General features: G+C 36.3%; 1 protein-coding gene across 24 annotated transcripts in view; it reads left to right on the top strand.

The window, feature by feature from the left end:
- The window catches only part of ZFAND4 (zinc finger AN1-type containing 4), a 57,314-nt gene that overhangs the window by 20,000 nt on the left and 16,393 nt on the right, over positions 1–20,921 (top strand). For 10 of the 24 annotated variants that reach the window (XR_001747259.2, XM_017016933.3, XM_047426012.1 and 7 more), the window contains 3 exons: positions 781–848; positions 4,280–4,520; positions 12,833–12,998. Coding sequence is in view for 22 of the 24 variants with exons in the window: in XM_017016933.3 (XP_016872422.1) it covers positions 781–848; positions 4,280–4,520; positions 12,833–12,998 (475 nt within the window). In the remaining 2 variants the exon portion in view is untranslated. Of the gene's footprint in view, positions 1–780; positions 849–4,279; positions 4,521–11,643; positions 11,764–12,392; positions 12,574–12,832; positions 13,109–20,921 lie in introns of those variants that run through there. The other 14 variants (NM_174890.4, XM_047426009.1, NM_001128324.2 and 11 more) reach the window with 5 other exon arrangements.

Here is a 20,921-nt window from a genome sequence, read left to right as displayed (position 1 = left end):
ACTACTTTAACCTTTATCCTCTGATACATTTATTTTCCCTTTTCATTTTTCATGTCAAGCTGTTTATCTCCTGCCTTTTGAAATCCTCCTATTATCTTCTTGCCTACTTTTCTCCTTTCTTTGAATATTGAACCATTCCTTCCTGGCTATGTTCCTTTCTTTCTGTTTTTACAAGAGTTTTGGATAAGAGAGAATTGTTCTTCCCAAAGTCTTTCCTTTCTCATTAAGCCCTCCTTTTGTTACTAAGCAATGCTGTGTGCACCAGTGACTACCAACGTACTTTCTGACACTTTGTCTCTCTTATTTCTCCCCTCTTTCACATAATTCATCACTCTTTTGTTAAGAAAAGAGTAAAAGGATAAGAGGCAGTGTGGAATAGCTGTAAGAGCACTGAGAGTCAGGAGACCTTGTTATTTTTCTATTTTCTGTTTTATTAAATAGATTTGCTATTTTCTGCACTTTGGGTCTCCGGCATGCCACTTTTGTTCTCTGGGCCTCCTTTTCCTTAATGTGAAATGAACAGGCTAAAACACGTAATCACAGAGGTCTTTTCCAGTATGTTTATTCTTGGATTTCTTTATGGCTTATGAGAATTTGTTTCACCTTTTTTATTATTTGTACCAGTAAATATGTTAACATTTTATATGTATTTACATTGCTATATCTTTTTATATTTTAGAGAGTGGCCACTCTGCCTGATAAGCCAGCACATAATTATGTGTACATTTAACTGAATGCATTTTGATGATTATGATTTATTTTTGTGTTAACTATCCACAGCATTTCAGAAGGGTGTACCTTGAAGCTAGTTTTGGCTATGCGTGGCGGACCTATAAATACTAGAAGAGGTAGGCATATATATATATTAAAGCAATTTGACAGTAACATTCTTTATGTCAGTTAGTATTTTTATAGCCTCAGGTTTTATTTAGGTTTCCTTTCTGCTATTAGGTCTTAGAAAAATCACATTTGATTCTCTAGGCATTGTTCTTTAAAACCTAAATGCCTAGAGGCTGGAACTCTAAAATACAATTCAGAAAAATCACATGATTCCTGATCCAATTCAGAGAGGTTTAAAAATAAACCTTTTGCCAGTATAGGGAACAGAAATGGAATGACATACTATAAATACTACTTTACCATTGTGTTTAGTTTCATACGAGTCTTGTTTATTTTTAAATCTACCAGATCTTCAAATCCCAAGATGATGATCGTTTTGCAAAATTCCAACATTGCCTGTTTACCTGGTTTGTGATGTGTCTGGGTTTCATGGATATTATCATGGCCCCGGTTGCATCCTTTCTCAGAATATAAGTAGTTCTGAAATCCAGTCATTCATTCAACAAATACGTATTGAGCGTCTACTGAATGGTCAGTGCAATGTTCCAAGTATGGTAGACATGGGAGAGAAAGTCTCTGCTTCATGACAGTGCCTACAATAAATGTGTAAAGAGTCGATGTAACTCCTAATGGTTGTAAGTGCTATGCAGAAAATAGGGTAGGAAGGGCCCTCGAAAAAGATGACATTAGTGGAGACTTGATTGATGAGAGGGTTTTATTAAGCACAAGAAGAGACGGCAGTATTCACATTGGTCCCTGAGTCAGGTATGTCACATGAATTCCCATGAAGTGGAGGAGACTAGTCAGAGCATCCTCTTCTGTGGACCTCATTTTGAGGAAGTCCTTCAGATTTATTTGATCCTTCACTAACCAGAAAACCGAAGGATAAGTATTGATTCTACTCCTGGCTTGCTTCCACATGTCAAATTATATCCCTATGTTTAATAATTTTGGTTAGAAAATAGGATTATTGCCATCTTTTTCTTAGCTATTTCAAGAGGATTTAATGAGATATGCTACTTTGGCTGTTGGACTGCTTTTTATAGGTTAGAGAAAAACAAAGTTAATAATGTTAGGGCCTTTTAGCACTCCTGATACCAGAGACTTTTAATTAATTGGATTTAGGTAATTGTCCTATGTGACATTTATAGTAATAACTATAAATGTTTATAGTAATAACTATGTGATGTTTATAGTAATAACTCTTGAAGTAGCACAAGAACCCTGTGTTTACTGAACCATTATGTTAAGATAGAATTATATAGTGTTTAATGCCATGTGAACTCTATTGTATTACATTTTTGAAAGTTGGTTATTTGTGCGTAGTACTACTTTAAACCAAAGTGTTTAATCAAAACACCTACTTTTCTTATTAGAACTAAAATTATTTTATATGTTTATGAGGAGTGTGATACAGATTCTGAGGTAAATATATATATTTTTTACTTTTCTTTTTTTTTTTGAGACGGAGTCTTGCTCTGTCACCGAGGCTGGAGTGCAGTGGCATGATCTCTGCTCACTTCAACCTCTGCCACCTGGGTTCAAGTGATTCTCCTGCCTCAGCCTCCCGAGTAGCTGGGATTACAGGCAGTGGTATTGAGGTCAGGAGTTTGAGACCAGCTTGGCCAACATGGTGAAACCCCATCTCTACTAAAAATACAAAAATTAGCTGGGCATGGTGGCGGGCTACTCAGGAGGCTGAGACATGAGAATTGCTTGAACCTGGGAGACAGACGTTACAGTGAGTGGAGACTGCGCCACTACAGTCCAGTCTGGGTGACAGAGGTTACAGTGAGTGGAGACTGCGCCACTACAGTCCAGTCTGGGTGACAGAGTGAGACTCTGTCTCAAAAAACGAATACAAATAAAAAAAAATTGTTTTTGAAATAACTATTATCAAAGCAGCATAGAAAGATTAAAATGTTTCTTTTCTAAAACTAAATTGTGCCCAATGCATATCAAACTTCATATATATTGTTTTATAGCTGATAAAATCTGAAAGATTTTTCTGTTATGAGAAGATCCACACATACACTTGCCTGAGTAAGGCACCCTGTGCTGGTTTAGGAAAGGCTTTCATGTGACTGTGGTAATGGCTATAGCAATATCTAAAAAATGGGCATAATTTTTATTTCTTTTTTGTTGTGTTTTGTTGGGTTTTTTCCCCCCTAAAGGTCTGCTCTCTGATCCAAATTTTTATCTCTTGATGTAATATGGAAAGTGGAGCATTAACTTACAAAAGGCAAGAACTTGTTTGAAAAGTGTCTTTTAATATTTATACATTTTGGGCCTGTGAAAGTAAATCAAAACATCCAAATAACTGTTTTCATAAAGCAAGCTAAACCATATTATAAGATTTTTATGTTAGTAATAGTGTTATTGAATTTAGGCTATGGAAGCATCTTTGATGTTTTTACCTTACTGCTTTCCAAGTTTAATATTTTCCTATTGCTGCAACTTCTTTTTAAAGGGTTGTAGAGCACCACGATTCTGTTAATAAATAAGTGAAAGTTATGCAGCTTGGGAAATCTTTACCTCTTTTAGGAGAAAACAGATGTTTCTGCAGTATGATGAGAATGTCTTTGGGAGAGAACTTTTATTTTTTCCTGGAACTGTTGCAGTTTTAGTACATGAAGTGACCCCCCTCACGTTCTAAGTTATTATGTACTTTTAATTACCTAACTTCATGTCAAGGAACAGCTCTTAAGAATCAGCCTTTATATAAAACCAGAAAGAAAAAGATAGGTCTGCTTACTTCTAATTTCTTAGATATGTCTCCTAATTGTGTGTGTGTGTGTACTTTTTTTTTTTTTTTTTGAGGGACTACAGGTGCGCACCACCATGCCCAGCTAATTTTTGTATTTTTTTTAGTAGAGACGGGGTTTCACCATGTTGGCCAGGATGGTCTTGATCTCTTGACTTCATGATCTGCCCGCCTCGGCCTCCCAAAGTGCTGGGATTACAGGCATGAGCCACCGCACCCGGCCGTGTCTGTGTACTTTTAATCTAACGTAAGTGGAATTTATTTTGGTTTTAATTATTGTTGGAACCAATATTTGAAAATATAGGGAGCAGAAAGTATATAGTAAAAAAATTATTGATAGTAATATCATAGAATCAGCAAATACACAGACTCTAGTGACATAGGGAAAAAATATAGACTATAATGGCATAGGACAAAAAACTCTCATGTTTTAGTTTAGCCCTGTCTTTGAATATAGCAACATAATCATGCATTTTGTTTGTTTGTTTCTTATTAATATAACATAGGGAATGCTATATTAATTGTAGAAAGATCAGAAACTTATTTGAAGAATATCATGTTTATATTATATGCACAGGACTGTTGTTCAAATTCAGTATATTATATCCTGTCACTGTACCAAGATGCATAAAACTTGATCCAAATTGAAGACTTATTTCAATTTTCCATTTGTAGTTCCTACAGACGATCCACTTAGGAAGATGGCAGAGTACTTGGATTCCAGTCGAGTTGAGGTCTGGGAGAAGACCTCCTGCAGCAAACAAGTTACATTTTTGGTATACCAAGAAGGAGATCAATTGAATTTCTTTCCTGCAGTAGATAGGGGAGATGGCACTTTAACACCGTTATCTGACTCTTCAAAGAAAATAGATTTTCATTTGCATGTCCTACGGAGAAAAGGAGAACATCGTATGAGGTACTCCATAAACTTTTGTTTACCTTGTGTTGTCAAAATAATCTATATATATTAACAAATGTCATGCATCTCATTCCTGCCCCAGCCCCCAATATATAAGTCTGAAATTGTCCTTCGTATAATTGATATGATAAAACTGAGGTTTTTTTAGAGTGGGATGTTTTCATAAAAAGATTTGTTTCTGTTAGTCTGTGAAACTCTAAGATGCCTAATAGATTATAGAATCCTGTCATAATAGTGTGTTATTATACAACCTTAGCATAATAGAAAGGGTTAAACCTAAAGTTGATACCTTTTTTTCTAAATTTAACTCTGCTCCTTAAAGGCAGATAAATCTCTTTACTTCTCTGGTCTTGTTTTCCTACTCTATAAAAGGGAGATAAATTGTAATATTCTAAAATCAGGAGGAAAAACCCTACATATATTTAGCTAAGCAATAGAAGAATTAGAGAATTGGACAAGGCAACCTCTCAGTTAGTTGCTGTGCATTCTGAGTTACTATGATTTTTTTATCTCCTTTCACTTCAAGTTATTAAGCATTCACTCACTGAACTTTTATGGCCATTCACTGAGCAAGGCACTGATGTTGTAAAGATGATTATTCCTACCTTCATGGAGCATGCAGTCTGCTATGAAGAGTATCAGTGATATAATGTTGGTGATGTTATAAAAAGATATCAAGATCTCTGGGAGAATAGATGACAGGGCCTTTATTATGCATGAAAGGCAGAGAGTTAGACACATCCTCTGAGAAGAAGTGACCCTAAAAGGGGAGTGGAGTTTGCCAAGCAGACAAAGCAAGGGAAGGTGTTACACATCCTGCAAAATAAAAAGGTAGTGGTAAAATCATTAAAAAAAAAAAAAAAAAACAGCTTGTAGTTTGGAGAACAGTTTCTGTGGATCAGGAGTCCAGGCACAGCATTGCTGTGCTCCAAGTCCCACAATCTGGAGTCAAGGTGTCAGCAATTCTCTTATCAAGAGGCTTGACTGGGGAGGAGAATCTACTTACAGAGTCACTCTTATTGCTGGCATAATTCATTTCCTTTCAGTTATATGATGGAGCGCCCAGTTTTTTGCTGGCTATTGACTAGAGGCTGCCCTCAGCTCCCTTTTGATGAACCCAAAACCAACTGATTTGGGGCCTAAATTACATCTGCAACGTCCTTTGCCATATTCAGTTGGCTAGAAGCTAGATGTCCATCATGCCCACACTCAAGGGTAGGAAACCATATGTGATGTGAACACCAAGGGTCAAGAGTCAGAGAGATTCCCCTAGGCTTCTGCCCCTCCACAGAGTGTTACATGAAAGAAAGATTAGACTGAATTTTTTGTGGCCTCAGAGAGCAGACTGTGACACATGGGTGTTACCTGTTGACTTTAACATGTCAGCATCTGGTTAGCACTTCAAACTTGGCATAAACCCTGGGCAAGAAATGGAGGAGGTAGCAGTGAGGGTTACAGCCTTAGGCCATTAATAGAATGTCTTCATACCAGTTTTGCCGTGTGCTGGCTCACTGTTTAGTTTTCTTCTCTAGTACACACTCTTTTGGCTCCCTTTTCCTAAAGGAAACCCAAGCTCCTCAGCTTAGCGTATGAGTCCTTTGACAACGTGTTACCATCAGTTTTCCAGGTCTTCTCATTATGCTGTGTTTTTAGACATCTTTTCTCCTTTGCTTGAAACGTCATTTTCTCCTCTTACTCCAGCTTCTCCTCAGCCAACTTCTATTTGTGTTTATGACTCAGCCCAAATATCATCATGGAATTTAATTAGAACTGTCTTGTTGTTCATCACAAGATAATTTATATATTTTTTCTTCCTTTGTATTCATCTACAATAATTGGACAAGGAAAGGGATGGATGAATGAGAAAGAGGAGTAGAAAACAATCTGATCATACCATGAAGAACATTTATATTTCCTGTTCTAGAAGAGGCTTTCCTAGTCTACAACAGGGGTAGCAAACTTCTTCTGTAAAGGTGTGCAGATAGTAACTATTTTAGGATTTTTAGGCCAAGAGACAGCATCAAGGATATTAAATAGGTACTTATGTAACGAGAGAAAACAAATTTCCACAGAACTTTCACTAACAAAGTTCAAAATATAAGACTAACAATTGGGTACTTTTCTTCTGTTTGTACCACAGAATTCCAGAGAAGAATGGAATTCTTTTTCATGGGAATAACGTTTTACCTAATTGAGGTGGAAAGTTAGTGTTGCCCATCAAATTTGCAAAGTCAATTGCAAAAGTTCACTTGTTAGAGCTGATCTGTAATGAGATTTTATGTATTTTATCTTAGAAATTTTTTTTTCACACAGATAGGTACTGTCAGATGCTGATATCAGTCCATGAGCACATGCTTTTATTGAACATATTGATCATTTTTAAGGCGTTTATAAAATTCTATCAGATCTTCTCTTGGTGTTTGCCCTGGAAGCTCCTCAGTTGCACATTTAAATGAATTTTGAAATAGAACATTATTTGGAAATTGCACTGAGGTATAAAAACACTGCTAGACCTATAATTTGAGCTCGGAAATATATCTGCTGCAAATTTCTGTGGGAATAGAGATATCACTTAATTTCTACTTTTGAAAGCATGGGAATGATTGCAGCTTGCTGTTACGTGTAATTCAAACACTAGTTGTTGTTAACATGACATTATTGCAGTATATGTTTCACATATAAATATTGTTTTATTTTGTAATTTTAGGTTAAATTCATTATGAAACATTATGAAGTCCACAGTAAAAATTAATTTCCAAAGGCAATTTAAAAATTTAAAAAGTGTTTGTAATAGTAGTTAAGGCCAGTTCTTCTCATTCAGAGTTCCTGAGCTAAAAAAAACATAATAAAACTTTATTACCAGTAAGCCACCAAACTGATGATGGATAAGTCCATGAAACAATTGAAGTTTACCATTAACACTGCTGGTTTAATAACACAGGATAGACTCAGATATTTACCATGAAATACCTGCTGATGAATAATACAATGAATAACTGTAGACTTTAAAGACCTTACATGTTTAAAGGGCATGGTGGCTCACACCTGTAATCCCAGCACTTTTGGAAGGTGGGCGAATCTCTTGAGTCCGGGAGTTTGAGACAAGTCCGGGCAACACAGTGAAACTCCATCTGGAAAAAAATTAGCTGGGCCTGGTGGTGCACACCTGTAGTCCCAGCTACTTCGGAGGCTGTGGTGGGAGGATTGCTTGAGCCCAAGAGGTGGAGGTTGCAGTGAGCCGAGATCACACCACTGCACTCCAGCCTGGGTGACAGAGTGAGACCCCCTCTCAAAAAGACAAAAAAAAAAAAAAAAAGACCTTACATGTTCACTAACTATAAATTTGTCCAATAAGTTTTTTTCTGTTTCACACATCACCCCATCAGTTATAGCAGAGTTCACTTAAAGTTGTACTAAATTAGTATTTAGCAATTTATTTGAAAATATTCTCACCTGTAGTAGCTTCATGCAGACTATTCATAGGGGCCAACTCTTCAGTCACTTCAAACTTGGTATTGACGCCCTCAATAAACAATAACACAGAGCAATATGGGTAATATATGTCAGCTCATCAAAAAACAATCAGCTTTTTAAATCAGCTGTTGACATTACTTCCAATTCTATCAACTTTTTGAGAAATTGTCCCTGCTGGAAAAGTAATCTTTAAACAACTTTATTTTCTCAGGACATACTTCCTCAACTGCTGTGATCAATAGTGAATTAATTCACTATTGATGAGTAGCTTTCCTTGCTTGGCTAGCAGATATAAACATTCAGAAACTTCTTTGGTTTTATAGCTTCATTTTCATTTTTTATTTGTGTAAAGAAATTCTGCTGTGATGAGATATTCTACTGTAAATTTTCTAGTTTTTCTGACTGTTGCTTTCCTGAAAGTTGGGAATATTGTGATGAATGCCTAACCTGGTAATGTCTATTTATGCTGTTTTCCTTTAGCATAGCTATAGTGTCACTGCATTATAAGCATCATGCTTTGCTATCTAATTGCTAACAAATAATCCACTCTACGGTACCTTAAAATGGCAACATTTGAAGTCTACTTTTCTTGTTTGACAAGGTTGGGTATACCCTAGTAATAAAAAAAGTCACAGAATAGCAATATACATGGCAGTCAAAATACTGTTGAATTATGACTATGTTACTGTGATTTGTAGTTCTCCATATCACAGTGTAGAGCAACGAGAGAGCCACATAAAGTCTGTCATAGCTACTCAACTCTGCCATTGTAGGCAAAAGCAGCCATTTGTAATACATGATTGGGTGAATATGGCTTTGTTCCAATAAAACTTTATTTATGGACACAAATTTGAATTTTATTTAATTTTCATTTGTTATGAAATACCATTATTTTGAGTTTTTTCAACTAATTAAAGTTCATAAACCATTCTTAGCTCATGGGCCACACAGAAATAGAAATAGGTGGTGGGGCAGATTTGACCCATGACCATGGTTTGCTGGCTTCTACTCTAAAAAGAAAGAGGGAGAATTGAGTGTTAATTTGTTTCATTCTGATACAAAATGCAGCATCAGTCTTTTTTTAGTCTCAAATCTTTTTAGTGGATCATGCCACCTTACTGGTATTTTTTTTTTTTTTTTTTTTTTTGAGATGGAGTCTTGCTCTGTCACCCAGGCTGGAGTGCAGTGGCACGATCTTGGCTCACTGCAACCTCTGCCTCCCAGATTCAAGCGATTCTCTTGCCTCAGCCTCCCAAGTAGCTGGGACTACAGGCGCCCGCCACCATGCCCAGCTAATTTTTTGTATTTTTAGCAGAGACGGGGTTTCACCGTGTTAGCCAGGATGGTCTTGATCTCCCGTCCTGGTGATCCGCCCACCTCGGCCTCCCAAAGTGCTGGGATTACAGGCATGAGCCACTGTGCCCGGCCTGGGATTTTTTAAGCAGAAAGATAGATAAGGAGACATTGTAAGACTTAATGGTAAACTGTGAAAGTTAAATGAGGTCTTGGCTTTGCGATGTGCAGATTTCATGCTTGAATAATATTACATTTGCCTATCTTGTATCCTTTAATCATATCATTAAATCAAAAGATTTGAGGCCGGGCGTGGTGGCTCATGCCTGTAATCCCAGCACTTTGGGAGGCAGAGGCAGGCGGATCACCTGAGGTCAGGAGTTTGAGACCAGTCTGACCAACATGGAGAAACCGCATCTCTACTAAAAATGCAAAATTAGCCGGGCGTGATGGTGCATGCCTGTAATCCCAGCTACTAGGGAGGCTGAGGCAGGAGAAAGGGCGCTTGAACCCGGGAGGTGGAGGTTGCGGTGAGCCGAGATTGCACCATTGCACTCCAGCCTGGGCAACAAGAGTGAAACTCTGTCTCAAAAAAAAAAAAAAAAAAAAAAAAGATTTGGAGAAATTACATATAGCACTAAAAAAAATTTAGAAATTCAAGGAAATGTTATATTATATTTAAATATAAAGAAAGTCATTTCGGATTAAATTTATAAATTAGTATGTTAACCTAGTTACATTTTTTCATCTGAAAAAAATTTGTGATTGGATTCTAACTCATCTCATGAATCTATACTTCATGAGAGAAAACAAAATAATGTGGTTCTTTGAAAAAAAAAGGTGAATTTAAAAGTGTTTTTATACTCTAAAATGAGTCCAGTGATTTATCATGATTGTTCTTTTTTTTTTTTTTTTTGAGATGGAGTCTCACTCTGTCGCCCAGGCTGGAGTGCACTGGTGTGATCTCGGCTCACTTGCAAGCTCTGCCTCCCGGGTTCACGCCATTCTCCTGCCTCAGCCTCCTGAGTAGCTGGGACTACAGGCACCCGCCACCACGCCCGGCGAATTTTTTGTATTTTTAGTAGAGATGGGGTTTCACCATGTTAGCCAGGATGGTCTCGATCTCCTGACCTCGTGATCCACCCGCCTCGGCCTCCCAAAGTGCTGGGATTACAGGCGTGAGCCATCACGCCCAGCTGATTGTTCTTTTATATATATATATATGTGTGTATGTATGTGTGTGTATATATGTATCTATTCCATGAGAGAATAGGTCTTTTCATGACAGTAATGTTGAATCAGAAACTTCTTTCAGTATTCAGTAAAGATACTTAAAATGCCACAGAGTAACTCAGAAGTATTTAAGGTTAAAATATTGCAAGGTAACTGAGAATAGTGTATACTTGAGTTATTCCTTCTAACTCCACAGGGTGACATGACGAAAATCTTCATGCACCCTTCTTCAGGTATTGTATAGTTGGCCTTGAGACAAAAGCCTTCACACAGTAGAAGTTCTGGCACTCATCTGGGTGCACAAGCATGATGCAGTAAGTCCTGTCATTTGGTGCCTGGGGAAGCAATGAGTAGTAGTAGGAAGAATCAGCTTAGGAACCAGACACATAGGGGATTTGAATCTTAGGTCTGCTGTCTATAGCTTTCTGATCTTGAGCCAAATCACTTAACCTCTCTCACCTGCAGTTTCTTCATTAATAAAATCAGCTATAATATCTACCTTATGTAGTTTTGTGAGAATTAGGAATAATGTGTGGGAAGTGCCTGGCAGAGCAGGCATTCAGTAAATGGCAGGCAATATTATTACTTCAGTGTTGTACTTGTGTCAGTTATCATACTGTGGTAGCCATGCTGTAGTAGGTAACTGTGGCTGTCACAAGTCAAGCACCACAGACTGAATTGGTTGTGGAGACCAGTCCTACATTCTTCCTTCAGATGCTACCCATGCGTATAGTGCGTGTAATTAACCCACAGTTTCAGAACATTTCATGTTGCACCATATAAAATTTAGGAATGGGGCTGTCTGCTCTCTTTTTTGGCCTTGTGTGACAATATGTGCTTCAGAAACATTAAGGAATATACCCCATTAAGGCTGTCCTAAATTGTTTCCATTTCTTACAACCATATAAAACGGGAAATTTTCCTCATACTTCCATAGTGTAGATAACCTAGTTTTCCTATAAGTAAATCTGCATAGAAACTAATATGTATTCTTATTTTGCTTTATTTAAAGTCTTAATTGTTTTCCAAATGTGCCAAGCTTGTGTTTTATCAAATCCTTGCCATTCTAATTTTCCCATTATAGAAAAAATAAATTAAATTTCAAAATCTTTGTGTTCAGTTCATCAAACATTTATTGGCTATGTGCCAAGCGCTGTGCCTGGTGCAGACTCAGAAGATAAAGTCTAATGTCTGCTTTCAACTTGCTTACATGTGGGAGAATAAGGGGCAAAACAAACATGTAAGTATAAATATGAGGATCGTGTGATACATCATTATATTATACAATCAAAGAGGAAGGGCTCCAAATATTAATTACATTGAAATATGAATAACGTCGCTGTGGTTGATCAGTAATTGAAATGTTTAACCTGTTTAATAGCTTGTATCATGACTTGACTGGATGTGTTTTTTCTTGTTAAAATCTATGCTAGTCTAGGTTTTTACATTTTCAAACACACTTAGAAAAATTTGAAGTTATCTCTACTTAAAAAAATGTATTGGCTGGGCGCGGTGGCTCACACCTACAATCCCAGCACTTTGGGAGGCCGAGGTAGGCGGATCACGAGGTCAGGAGATTGAGACTGTCCTGGCTAACACAGTGAAACCCTGTCTCTACTAAAAATACAAAAAATTATCTGGGCATGGTGGCACACACCTGTAGTCCCAGCTACTTGGGAGGCTGAGGCAGGAGAATCGCTTGAACCCGGGAGGCAGAGGTTGCAGTGAGCCGAGATTGTGCCATTGCACTCCAGCCTGGCGACAAGAGTGAGACTGTCTCAAGAAAAAAAAAATGTTTTTTGCTCCTTAAGAATAGAAAATGTTCTGATGACACCTGTGTATGAATTCTTTTTTTTTTTTTTTTTTTAGTGAGAATCTCCTCAGGATGACTAAAAATCTGTACTTCTCTCCCGTGCCAAATTTAAAAAAATTCTGATTCATGGAAATCTCATCAGCCTGTTGTCTGGGTTGCACAATTATCAGCCTTGGCTGATAAAATGAAATCAGACATTCTCATGGAAATGGATTTTGCCTCTTTGGGAATGATATGGCAGGTGTCAAAACATCTTCATTTATGATATACTGAATTCAGAGAAGCTCAGCTATACTAGATTTTCAGTAATCCTAGATCATAATATTTATTCCCATTTCATTTTTTCTTTTAAGAAGTACATTCTTTGAAATATATTTTCCTGACATTAACATTGACAAAATGGATGTAGTGTTTTATCATTAGTAACTTCTATAGATTGCTGTTTCATATAGAGCATTTTTAGTCACTGAGCAGGTATCAGAAAAATTTCAAGTAGTTATTGTTTTCTTTGCAGTGGTGGTTCTATGTATAATTCAGATACAGATGAGGATGAAGAAACTGAGCCTTCTTCTTCTGGGCAACAGATAATTGAAAATTCAATAACTATGAATAAGATGAAGCTGCTGAAGGCTAAGATGAAGAACATGAATCTCAGCAAAAAGGTGAAGCTGTTGGCATTTGACCAGGCTTATCTCTAGCTTACCCCTGCAGAGCACTCAGCAATGAGGTCTGTTGGTCATTGTGAAAAAATTATAAAGTATTATTCATTTCAGGTTTCTGGCCTCAGTTATTTATTAAACTTCTAAAAGGGATAAATTGGATTTTTTGGATTAGAAGCACACCTGAAGGGATTATACTGCACTTAACATCATTTTAAAGATCATTCTGGGTCTAAGAAGGATAAAAAAAGAGAGCTTAATCTTAATCTGGCAATAATTACTTTTTAAAATATGTTAATATTTATTTATTATGGATAAAGATATCTACTATTTAGTAGATAGTGCCAGTTTTTTCCAAAGTGATTGAACCAATTTACATTCTTTACAACAGTGAATGAGAGTTGCCATTTTCCCATATTCTTACCAGTATTTGGCATGGTCCTTTGTAATTTTTGTAATCCTACTTTGTTTGTGGTGGCATCACATTGTGGTTTTAATTGCATTTCTCTCATGAGACCTGGAAGGTTGAGCACCTTTCATATGTTTATTGGGCATTTGGATACCCTTTTTAATAAAACACCTATATTTTTCCATTTTTCTATTGGGTTGTATGTTTTTTGTTACAGATTTTTTTTGGAGTTTTATATATATTCTAGATAAAAGTCCTTTGTTTCATATTACCACTTTATTGCTTTCCTTTTTACTCTATTAATGGCTCCCTTCCTTTTCATGTATAATAAAATTCAAAAATCTTTAATATACTACTTGACGAATTTTTACATTTATATACACTCATGTAGACACAACCCAAATTAAAATAGGACCTTTCACTCCAGAATGTTTCCTCATAATATTTCCCAGTTAATACGTACCTGTTCCTACTCTCAGAAATAACGACTGTTCTTACATCTATTACCGTAAATACGTTTTTCCTATTCCTGAAATTTATATAAATGGAATCATAGAGAGTATGGTCTGGTTTCTTTTGTTAAAAGTATTTGTTTGATTTATCCATGTGGTTGTATGTATCAGTTAATTCTTTTTTATTGTTGTGTACTATTGTACTGTGTGATTGATTTACCTCAATTTGCTTCTTTCTTTTCCTTTTGATGGACATTTGAGTTGTCTCTAGCTTTTGGCTTTTATCAATAAACTTCCTTTGAATATTCTCATACATTCTTTGGTGGACATAGCACTTGTTTCTTTGGAGCATATACCTAGCAATGGACTTTCGGAGTCAGAGGGAAGATGCACGTTTAACTTTAGTATTATGCCAGACAATTTTGCCAAGCATTTTTTGGTTTTTTTGTTTTTTTGTTTTTTGTTTTTTTTCTTTTTTGAGACAGAGTCTTGCTCTGTCACCCAGGCGCTATCTCGGCTCACTGCAAGCTCTGCCTCCCGGGTTCACGCCATTGTCCTGCCTCAGCCTCCTGAGTAGCTGAGACCACAGGCGCCCGCCACTACGCCGGGCTAATTTTTTTTTTTTTTTTTGTATTTTTAGTAGAGACGGGGTTTCACCGTATTAGCCAAGTTGGTCTCGATCTCCTGACCTCATGATCTGACTGCCTCGACCTCCCAAAGTGCTGGGATTACAGACATGAGCCACCGCGCCCGGCCAATTTTGCCAAGCATTTGAACCAATTTACATTCTTCCCAGCAACGTGAGAGTTCTAGTTTATGCCACATTCTTGTCAACACTTGATATTGTCAGTCCTTTTAATTTTAACCATTCTGGTGACTGTGTAAATGGTTTTCTTTTATATTTCTCTAATGAGGAATAATATTGACTTTTCATATGATTATTGACCATTAAGATACGTTTTTTATGTGAAGTGCCTGTTCAAGTCTTTTGCTTATTTTTAAATTGAGTTCTCTGCCTTTTGCTTACTGATTTCTAGGCATCTTTATATACTATGGGTACAAGTCCTTTGTCAGATATATGGGTTGCAGATACTTCTAACACTCTATGGTGGCTTGTTCTTTTACTTTCTTATTCTTTGGGTGAATGTTTTTAATTGTATTCTAATTTATCAGTTTTGTTTTGTTTTGTTTTGTTTTGTTTTGTTTTTGAGACAGAGTCTCGCCCTGTTGCCCAGGCTGGAGTGCAGTGGTGTGATCTCTGCTCACTGCAACCTCCACCTCCTGGGTTCAAGCAATTCTTCTGCCCCAGCCTCCCAAATAGCTGGGATTACGGGTGCGCATCTCCACGCCCGGCTAATTTTTGTATTTTTAGTAGAGACGGGGTTTCACCTTGTTGGTCAGGCTGGTCTTGAACTTCTGACCTTGTCATCTGCCTGCCTCGGCCTCCCAAAGTGCTGGGATTACAGGCATGAGTCACTGCACCCAGCTTACTTTTATGATTATCATTTTTGATAACCTTTTGATGAAATATTTTCCTACCACAGGTCTTTAAAGCTTTATGATTGTTTTTCTCTCACTTAGGTTTAGTCCAGCTGAAATTTTTTTTTTTTTTTTTTTTGAGACGGAGTCTTGCTGTGTCTCCAGGGTGGACTGCAGTGGCACAATATTGGCCCACTGCAACCTCCACCTCCTTGGTTCAAGTGATTCTCGTGCCTCAGCCTCCTGAGTAGCTGGGACTACAGGCATGTGCCACCATGCCCGGCTATTTTTTGTATTTTTAGTAGAGATGGGGTTTTGCCATGTTGGCCAGGCTGGTCTCAAACTCCTGACCTCAGGTAGTCCTCCCACCTTGGCCTCCCAAAGTGTTGGGATTACAGGAGCGAGCCACCGCGCCCAGCTGAAATTTTTCTGATATAACGTAAAGTGGGGTAAAGATCTTTTTTTTTTTTTTTTCTGATGGGGAACAATTGACTTAGCTCTATTAAGAAAAAACATCCTTTCTTCACAGTCCTAAATGTTTATGCACTTAATAATAGAACTTCAAAATACATGAAGCAAAAACTACAAAGAAATAAACAAATACTTTTGTTGAAAGATTTCTACATCCCACTCTCAAAAATCGATGGAACAGATAGAAAATCAGTGAAGGATTTAGGAGACTTGAACAACACTAATCAACCTACTTGACCCAACTGACATTTACAGTATGCTCTACCCAAAACAGCAGAGTACACATTTCTTTTTAAGTGCATGTAGAACATTTACCAGGGTAAACCATATTGTGTGCCATAAAACAGGTTCAATTTTCTTTTTTTTTTTTTGAGACAGAATCTTGCTCTGTCCCTCAAACTGAAGTTCAGTGGCACAATCTTGGCTCACTACAATCTCCACCTCCCAGGTTTAAGCGATTGTCTTACCTCAGCCTCCTGAGTAGCTGGGACGACAGGCTCATGCCACCATGCCTGGCTAATTTTTTGTATTTTTAGTAGAGACGGGGTTTCACCATGTTGGTCAGGTTGGTCTTGAACTCCTGACCTCAAGCAATCCACCTGTCTTGGCCTCCCAAAGTGCTGGGATTACAGGTATGAGTCACTGCGCCTAGACCAGTTTCAAATAAATTATAAAAGATTCCAAATAATACAAAAATGCTCTCTGATTACAATGGAATAAAATTAGAAATTAATAATAGATATGTGGAAAGCTTTCTGATATTTGAAAATAACACACTTCTAAGTAACTGATAGTCAAGAAGTCCAAAGAGAAGTAAGTATTTTTTCACTGAATAAAAATATTCTGATATTGTGATGAACTGATTTTTTAAAAATATAAAATAGTCTTGCATTGTTAGAATGAACCATTCTTGGTTGTGATGTATTTTTCATTTCTTTAGATTTAAATTATTAATATTTTCTTTAGGATTTTTGCATTACGATTTCATTCATGAGAGAAATTTTGATCTATATTTTTCTTTTCCAATATACAGTAAGGTTGAAAGAATTTTACCATGAACACTTATTTATCTAATATCTAGATTCTACCATTAAAATTTTTTAAATTTTATTTTTGTGGTAAAATACATATGTCATAAAATTATCTTAACCATCTTAAGTGTACAAACAGTTCAGTAATGTTAAGTGTATAACACAGTGTTGTGCAACCAATCTCCAGAAGTTTTTTGTCTTGTAAAATTGTCATAACGTGTCAGAATTTCCTTCCTTTTTAAGGCTGGATAATATTTCATTGTATGGCTATATACCACACTTTTTTAATCCATTCATTCCTCAATGTATACTTGGATTGCCCCCATCTTTTGGCTATTGTGAATAATGGTGCTATGAACATAAGTATACAAATATGTCTTTGAGACCCTACTTTCAATGTTTTCTTTTAGTAGTTTCATAGTTTCAGATCTTAGAGTTAAGTCTTTAGTTCATTTAGATTTGATTTTTGTATATGGTAAAAGATAAGGGGTCTAATTTCATTCTTCTGCATGTGGATCCAGTTTTCCCAACATTATTTATTGAAGAGACTATCCTTTCCCCAGTGTATGTTCTTGGCATCTTTATCAAAAATAAGTTCACTGTGGGTCTGTGGACTTGTTTCTGGGTTCTCTGTTCTTTTCCATTGGTTGTGCATCTATGTTCATGTCAGTACTGTGCTGTTTTGGTTACTGTAGCTCTGTAGTATAATTTAAAGTCACATAATTGTGATTCTTCCAGTTTTTTTTTGTTTGTTTTTTTTTTGTTTTTTTTTTTTTTTTTTGCTTAGATGGCTTTGACTATTCTGTGTCTTTTGTGGTTCCATGTAAATTTTAGGATTATTTTTTCTGTTTCTGTGAAAAATGTCATTGGTATTTTGATAGAGATTATGTTGAATTTGTAGATTGCGTTGGGCAGTATGGACATTTTAACAATATTAATTCTTCCAACTCATGAACATGGAATATTTTTTCATATTTTTGTGTCGTCCAATGTTTTATAGCTTTCATTATAGAGATCTTTCACTTTTTTAGATAAGTTTATTCCTAGGTATTTTATTTTACTTTATTTGTAGCTATTGTAAATGAGATTACTTTCTTGATTTTTTTAGATTATTGTTGGTATATAGAAATGCTACTGGGTTTTGTATGTTGATTTTGTATCCCGCAACTTTACTGAATGTGTTTATCAGTTCTAATCGTTTTTTGGTGCAGTCTTTCTGTTTTTCCAAATACAAGATCATATTATCTGCAATCAAGGATAATTTGACTTCCTTCTTTCAAATTTGTATGCCCTTTATTTCTTTCTCTTGTCTGATTTCTCCAGCTAGGACTTCTAGTACTAGTACTTCTTTTCATTTAGGGTTCCTGATGATAATTCTCTCAGCATTTGTCTGAAAACTTATTTTACCTTTTTAATTTTGAGAAATGTTTAATTCTTTTTTTTTTTTTTTGAGATGGAGTCTTGCTGTTGCCCAGGCTGGAGTGCAGTGGTGTGGTCTCGGCTCACTGCAACCTCCACCTCCTGGGTTCAAGCGATTCTCCTCCCTCAGCTTCCCGAGTAGCAGTAGCTAGGACTACAGGCATGAGCCACCATGCCCAACTAATTTTTGTATTTTTAATAGAGATGGGGTTTCACCATGTTGGCCAGAATGGTCTTGATCTCTTGACCCCGTGATCTGCCTGCCTCGGCCTCCCAAGGTGCTGGGATTACAGGCATGAGCCACCGCGCCTGGCTGAGAAATGTTTAATTATTTAGAAATGTTATAAGACTAGATTCATCAATTAATATTTTCCCACATTTGCTTTCTGTTTGGATTTTTCTTTAGCTGATCTATGTGCAAGTTAGATATCATGACACTTCCCCTAAGTACTTTATTTATTATGTATCTCCTAAGAATAAGGGCCACCTTTTACATGATTATGATACAGTTACCATACTCATTTATGATTGATACACATTATGTCATCTATATTCATATTTCCCAGGTCTTAATAATGTGCTTAATAGCATTTTATATTGTTTTTAATCTGGGATCCAATCAAGAATGATGCATTGCATTTCGTTGTAATGTTTTCATAGTCTCCTTTTATACAAAACTGTTTCTAAGCCTTATTTGGACATGCATGTAAAATATTTTTGAAGAATATAGATCAGTTGTTTTGTAAAATATTCTTCAATTTGGAGATTTGGCTGTTTCATTATGATTAGATGGAATTTGAACATTTTTGGTAGGAATACTACACAGATGATTTATTCTTCTCAGTGCAACACATCAGAAGGCACATAATGTTAATTTGTAGTAGTTTCTTTTTCGTTTTTTTTTTTAAAGAAAATTTGCAATTTTAGTTGGTATTTCCTCATTAGTCCAAGAGTATTTTAATATATTTTGAAAATGTTCTGGTGGCAGAGGCTTTTTGGTTTTTCTTTTTCTTTTCTTTTCTTGTTTTTAGAGGTGGGAGTCTCACTATGTTACTGAACTCCTGGGACCAAGGGATCTTCTCATTTCAGCCTCCCACGTAGCTGGGACTATGTGTGCAGCACCATGCCGGGCTTGATTTTTCATTGTTTTTAATTTCTAGTTTTATTGCATGGAACTCAGAGAATATTGTTTGTATTTCTACTTTATAGCATTTTATTCTTTGGGATCTAATAGCACTTTTCATGAATATATACCTCAGAAGACAGTTTATTCTCTATCAAAAAGGTAAAAGTTTGCTAGATATTTATAAGATAGACCTTATTAAAGTTTTTTTTTTTTTTTGTCAACTTGATCTGTCTTAGAATGAGAATGGTAATAGATGAAGGTCTATTATTCATAGGTTTCTGTGTATTTCTCTTTTCATTTCTCATACTTTTTGCTGTAAGAAAGTGGTAGTTGTGTAATTTGGTACATAAATATTAATAACATATTTTCACTGTGTTGCTAGTTACAAAAGTAGTGAAATGTTTCATCTCTATCACATTCACTGACTTTCCCCTTGAATTTTCCTTGCCTGATATCAGGCCCATACCTACTGGTATCTTCTTGGTTTCATTTGCTTGGTATACCTTTTCCCATGTCTCTATTTATTAACTTTTAAGTTACTTTGTTTTACATATTTCCTTTATATACACTATAGAGTTGGTTTTTGCTTTGTGAGCCAGCTTGAAATTTTAAAACAGGTAACTTAATCACGTTTATATTTATTGATATGACTTCATATTTGGTCTTAAATGTCTTATTTTGTTATACTTACAGTTTCCTTCTCTATGCTTTCTTTTGTGTGTATCTGTATATATGAATGTGTAAGGGTGTATTTTTTGGTATTTCAGAAGGCTTTTGCATTTTGTTTTATTGATTCACTTTACATTAATACTATTTATCATGTTCTTGATCTGCCTTTTCCTTATTTAACCTTCTCCTCTTTTATTTGCCAGCTTTAAATATCCTTTGACTCCTAATTACTAAGTGAAAATCAGTGAACTTATTTTTTTCTCTTCTCTCTTCATCCTCTCATTAAAAATTTTTTTCTACTTTTTTAAAGAAAACATAGCCTTTACAAATCATTTTTCTTTCTACTCACTCTTATTTTAGTTTTAATTTTATTCCATCCTTTTTATTTATTCACTTATTTATTTTGAGATGGAGTCTTGCCCTGTCACCCAGGCTGGAGTGCAATGGCACGATCTTGGCTCACTGCAACCTGTGCCTCCTGGGTTCAAGCAATTCTCCTGCCTCAGTCTTCTGAGTAGCTAGGATTACAGGCGTGTGCCACCACACCCGGCTAATTTTTTTTTTGTATCTTTACTAGAGACGGGGTTTCACCATGTTGGCCAGGCTGGTCTCGAACTCCTGACCTTGTGATCCACCCACCTTGGCCTCCCAAAGTGCTGGGATTACAGGCATGAGCCACCATGCCCGGCCAATTGTATTCCATTCTTATGATCAGTCTTTTTGCTGTAGGTTTCCCCATACATTTTGGTTAGAAGAAGCTCATCTGAAGTCCTCAAGAAAGGCTTGTAGGTACAGTAATTCTTGAATTTTTCGATGTTCAAACCCTTTTCTTTAGACTTAACATTTTTATTTGTTTTTACCATTATGTAT

The sequence above is a fragment of the Homo sapiens genome, chromosome 10 (assembly GCF_000001405.40).
Source record: "Homo sapiens chromosome 10, GRCh38.p14 Primary Assembly".
In the NCBI taxonomy this organism is placed as follows: Eukaryota; Metazoa; Chordata; class Mammalia; order Primates; family Hominidae; genus Homo; species Homo sapiens.
The sequence above is the reverse complement of the archived record's forward strand: the minus strand, read 5'-3'. Positions and strand labels throughout refer to the sequence as shown.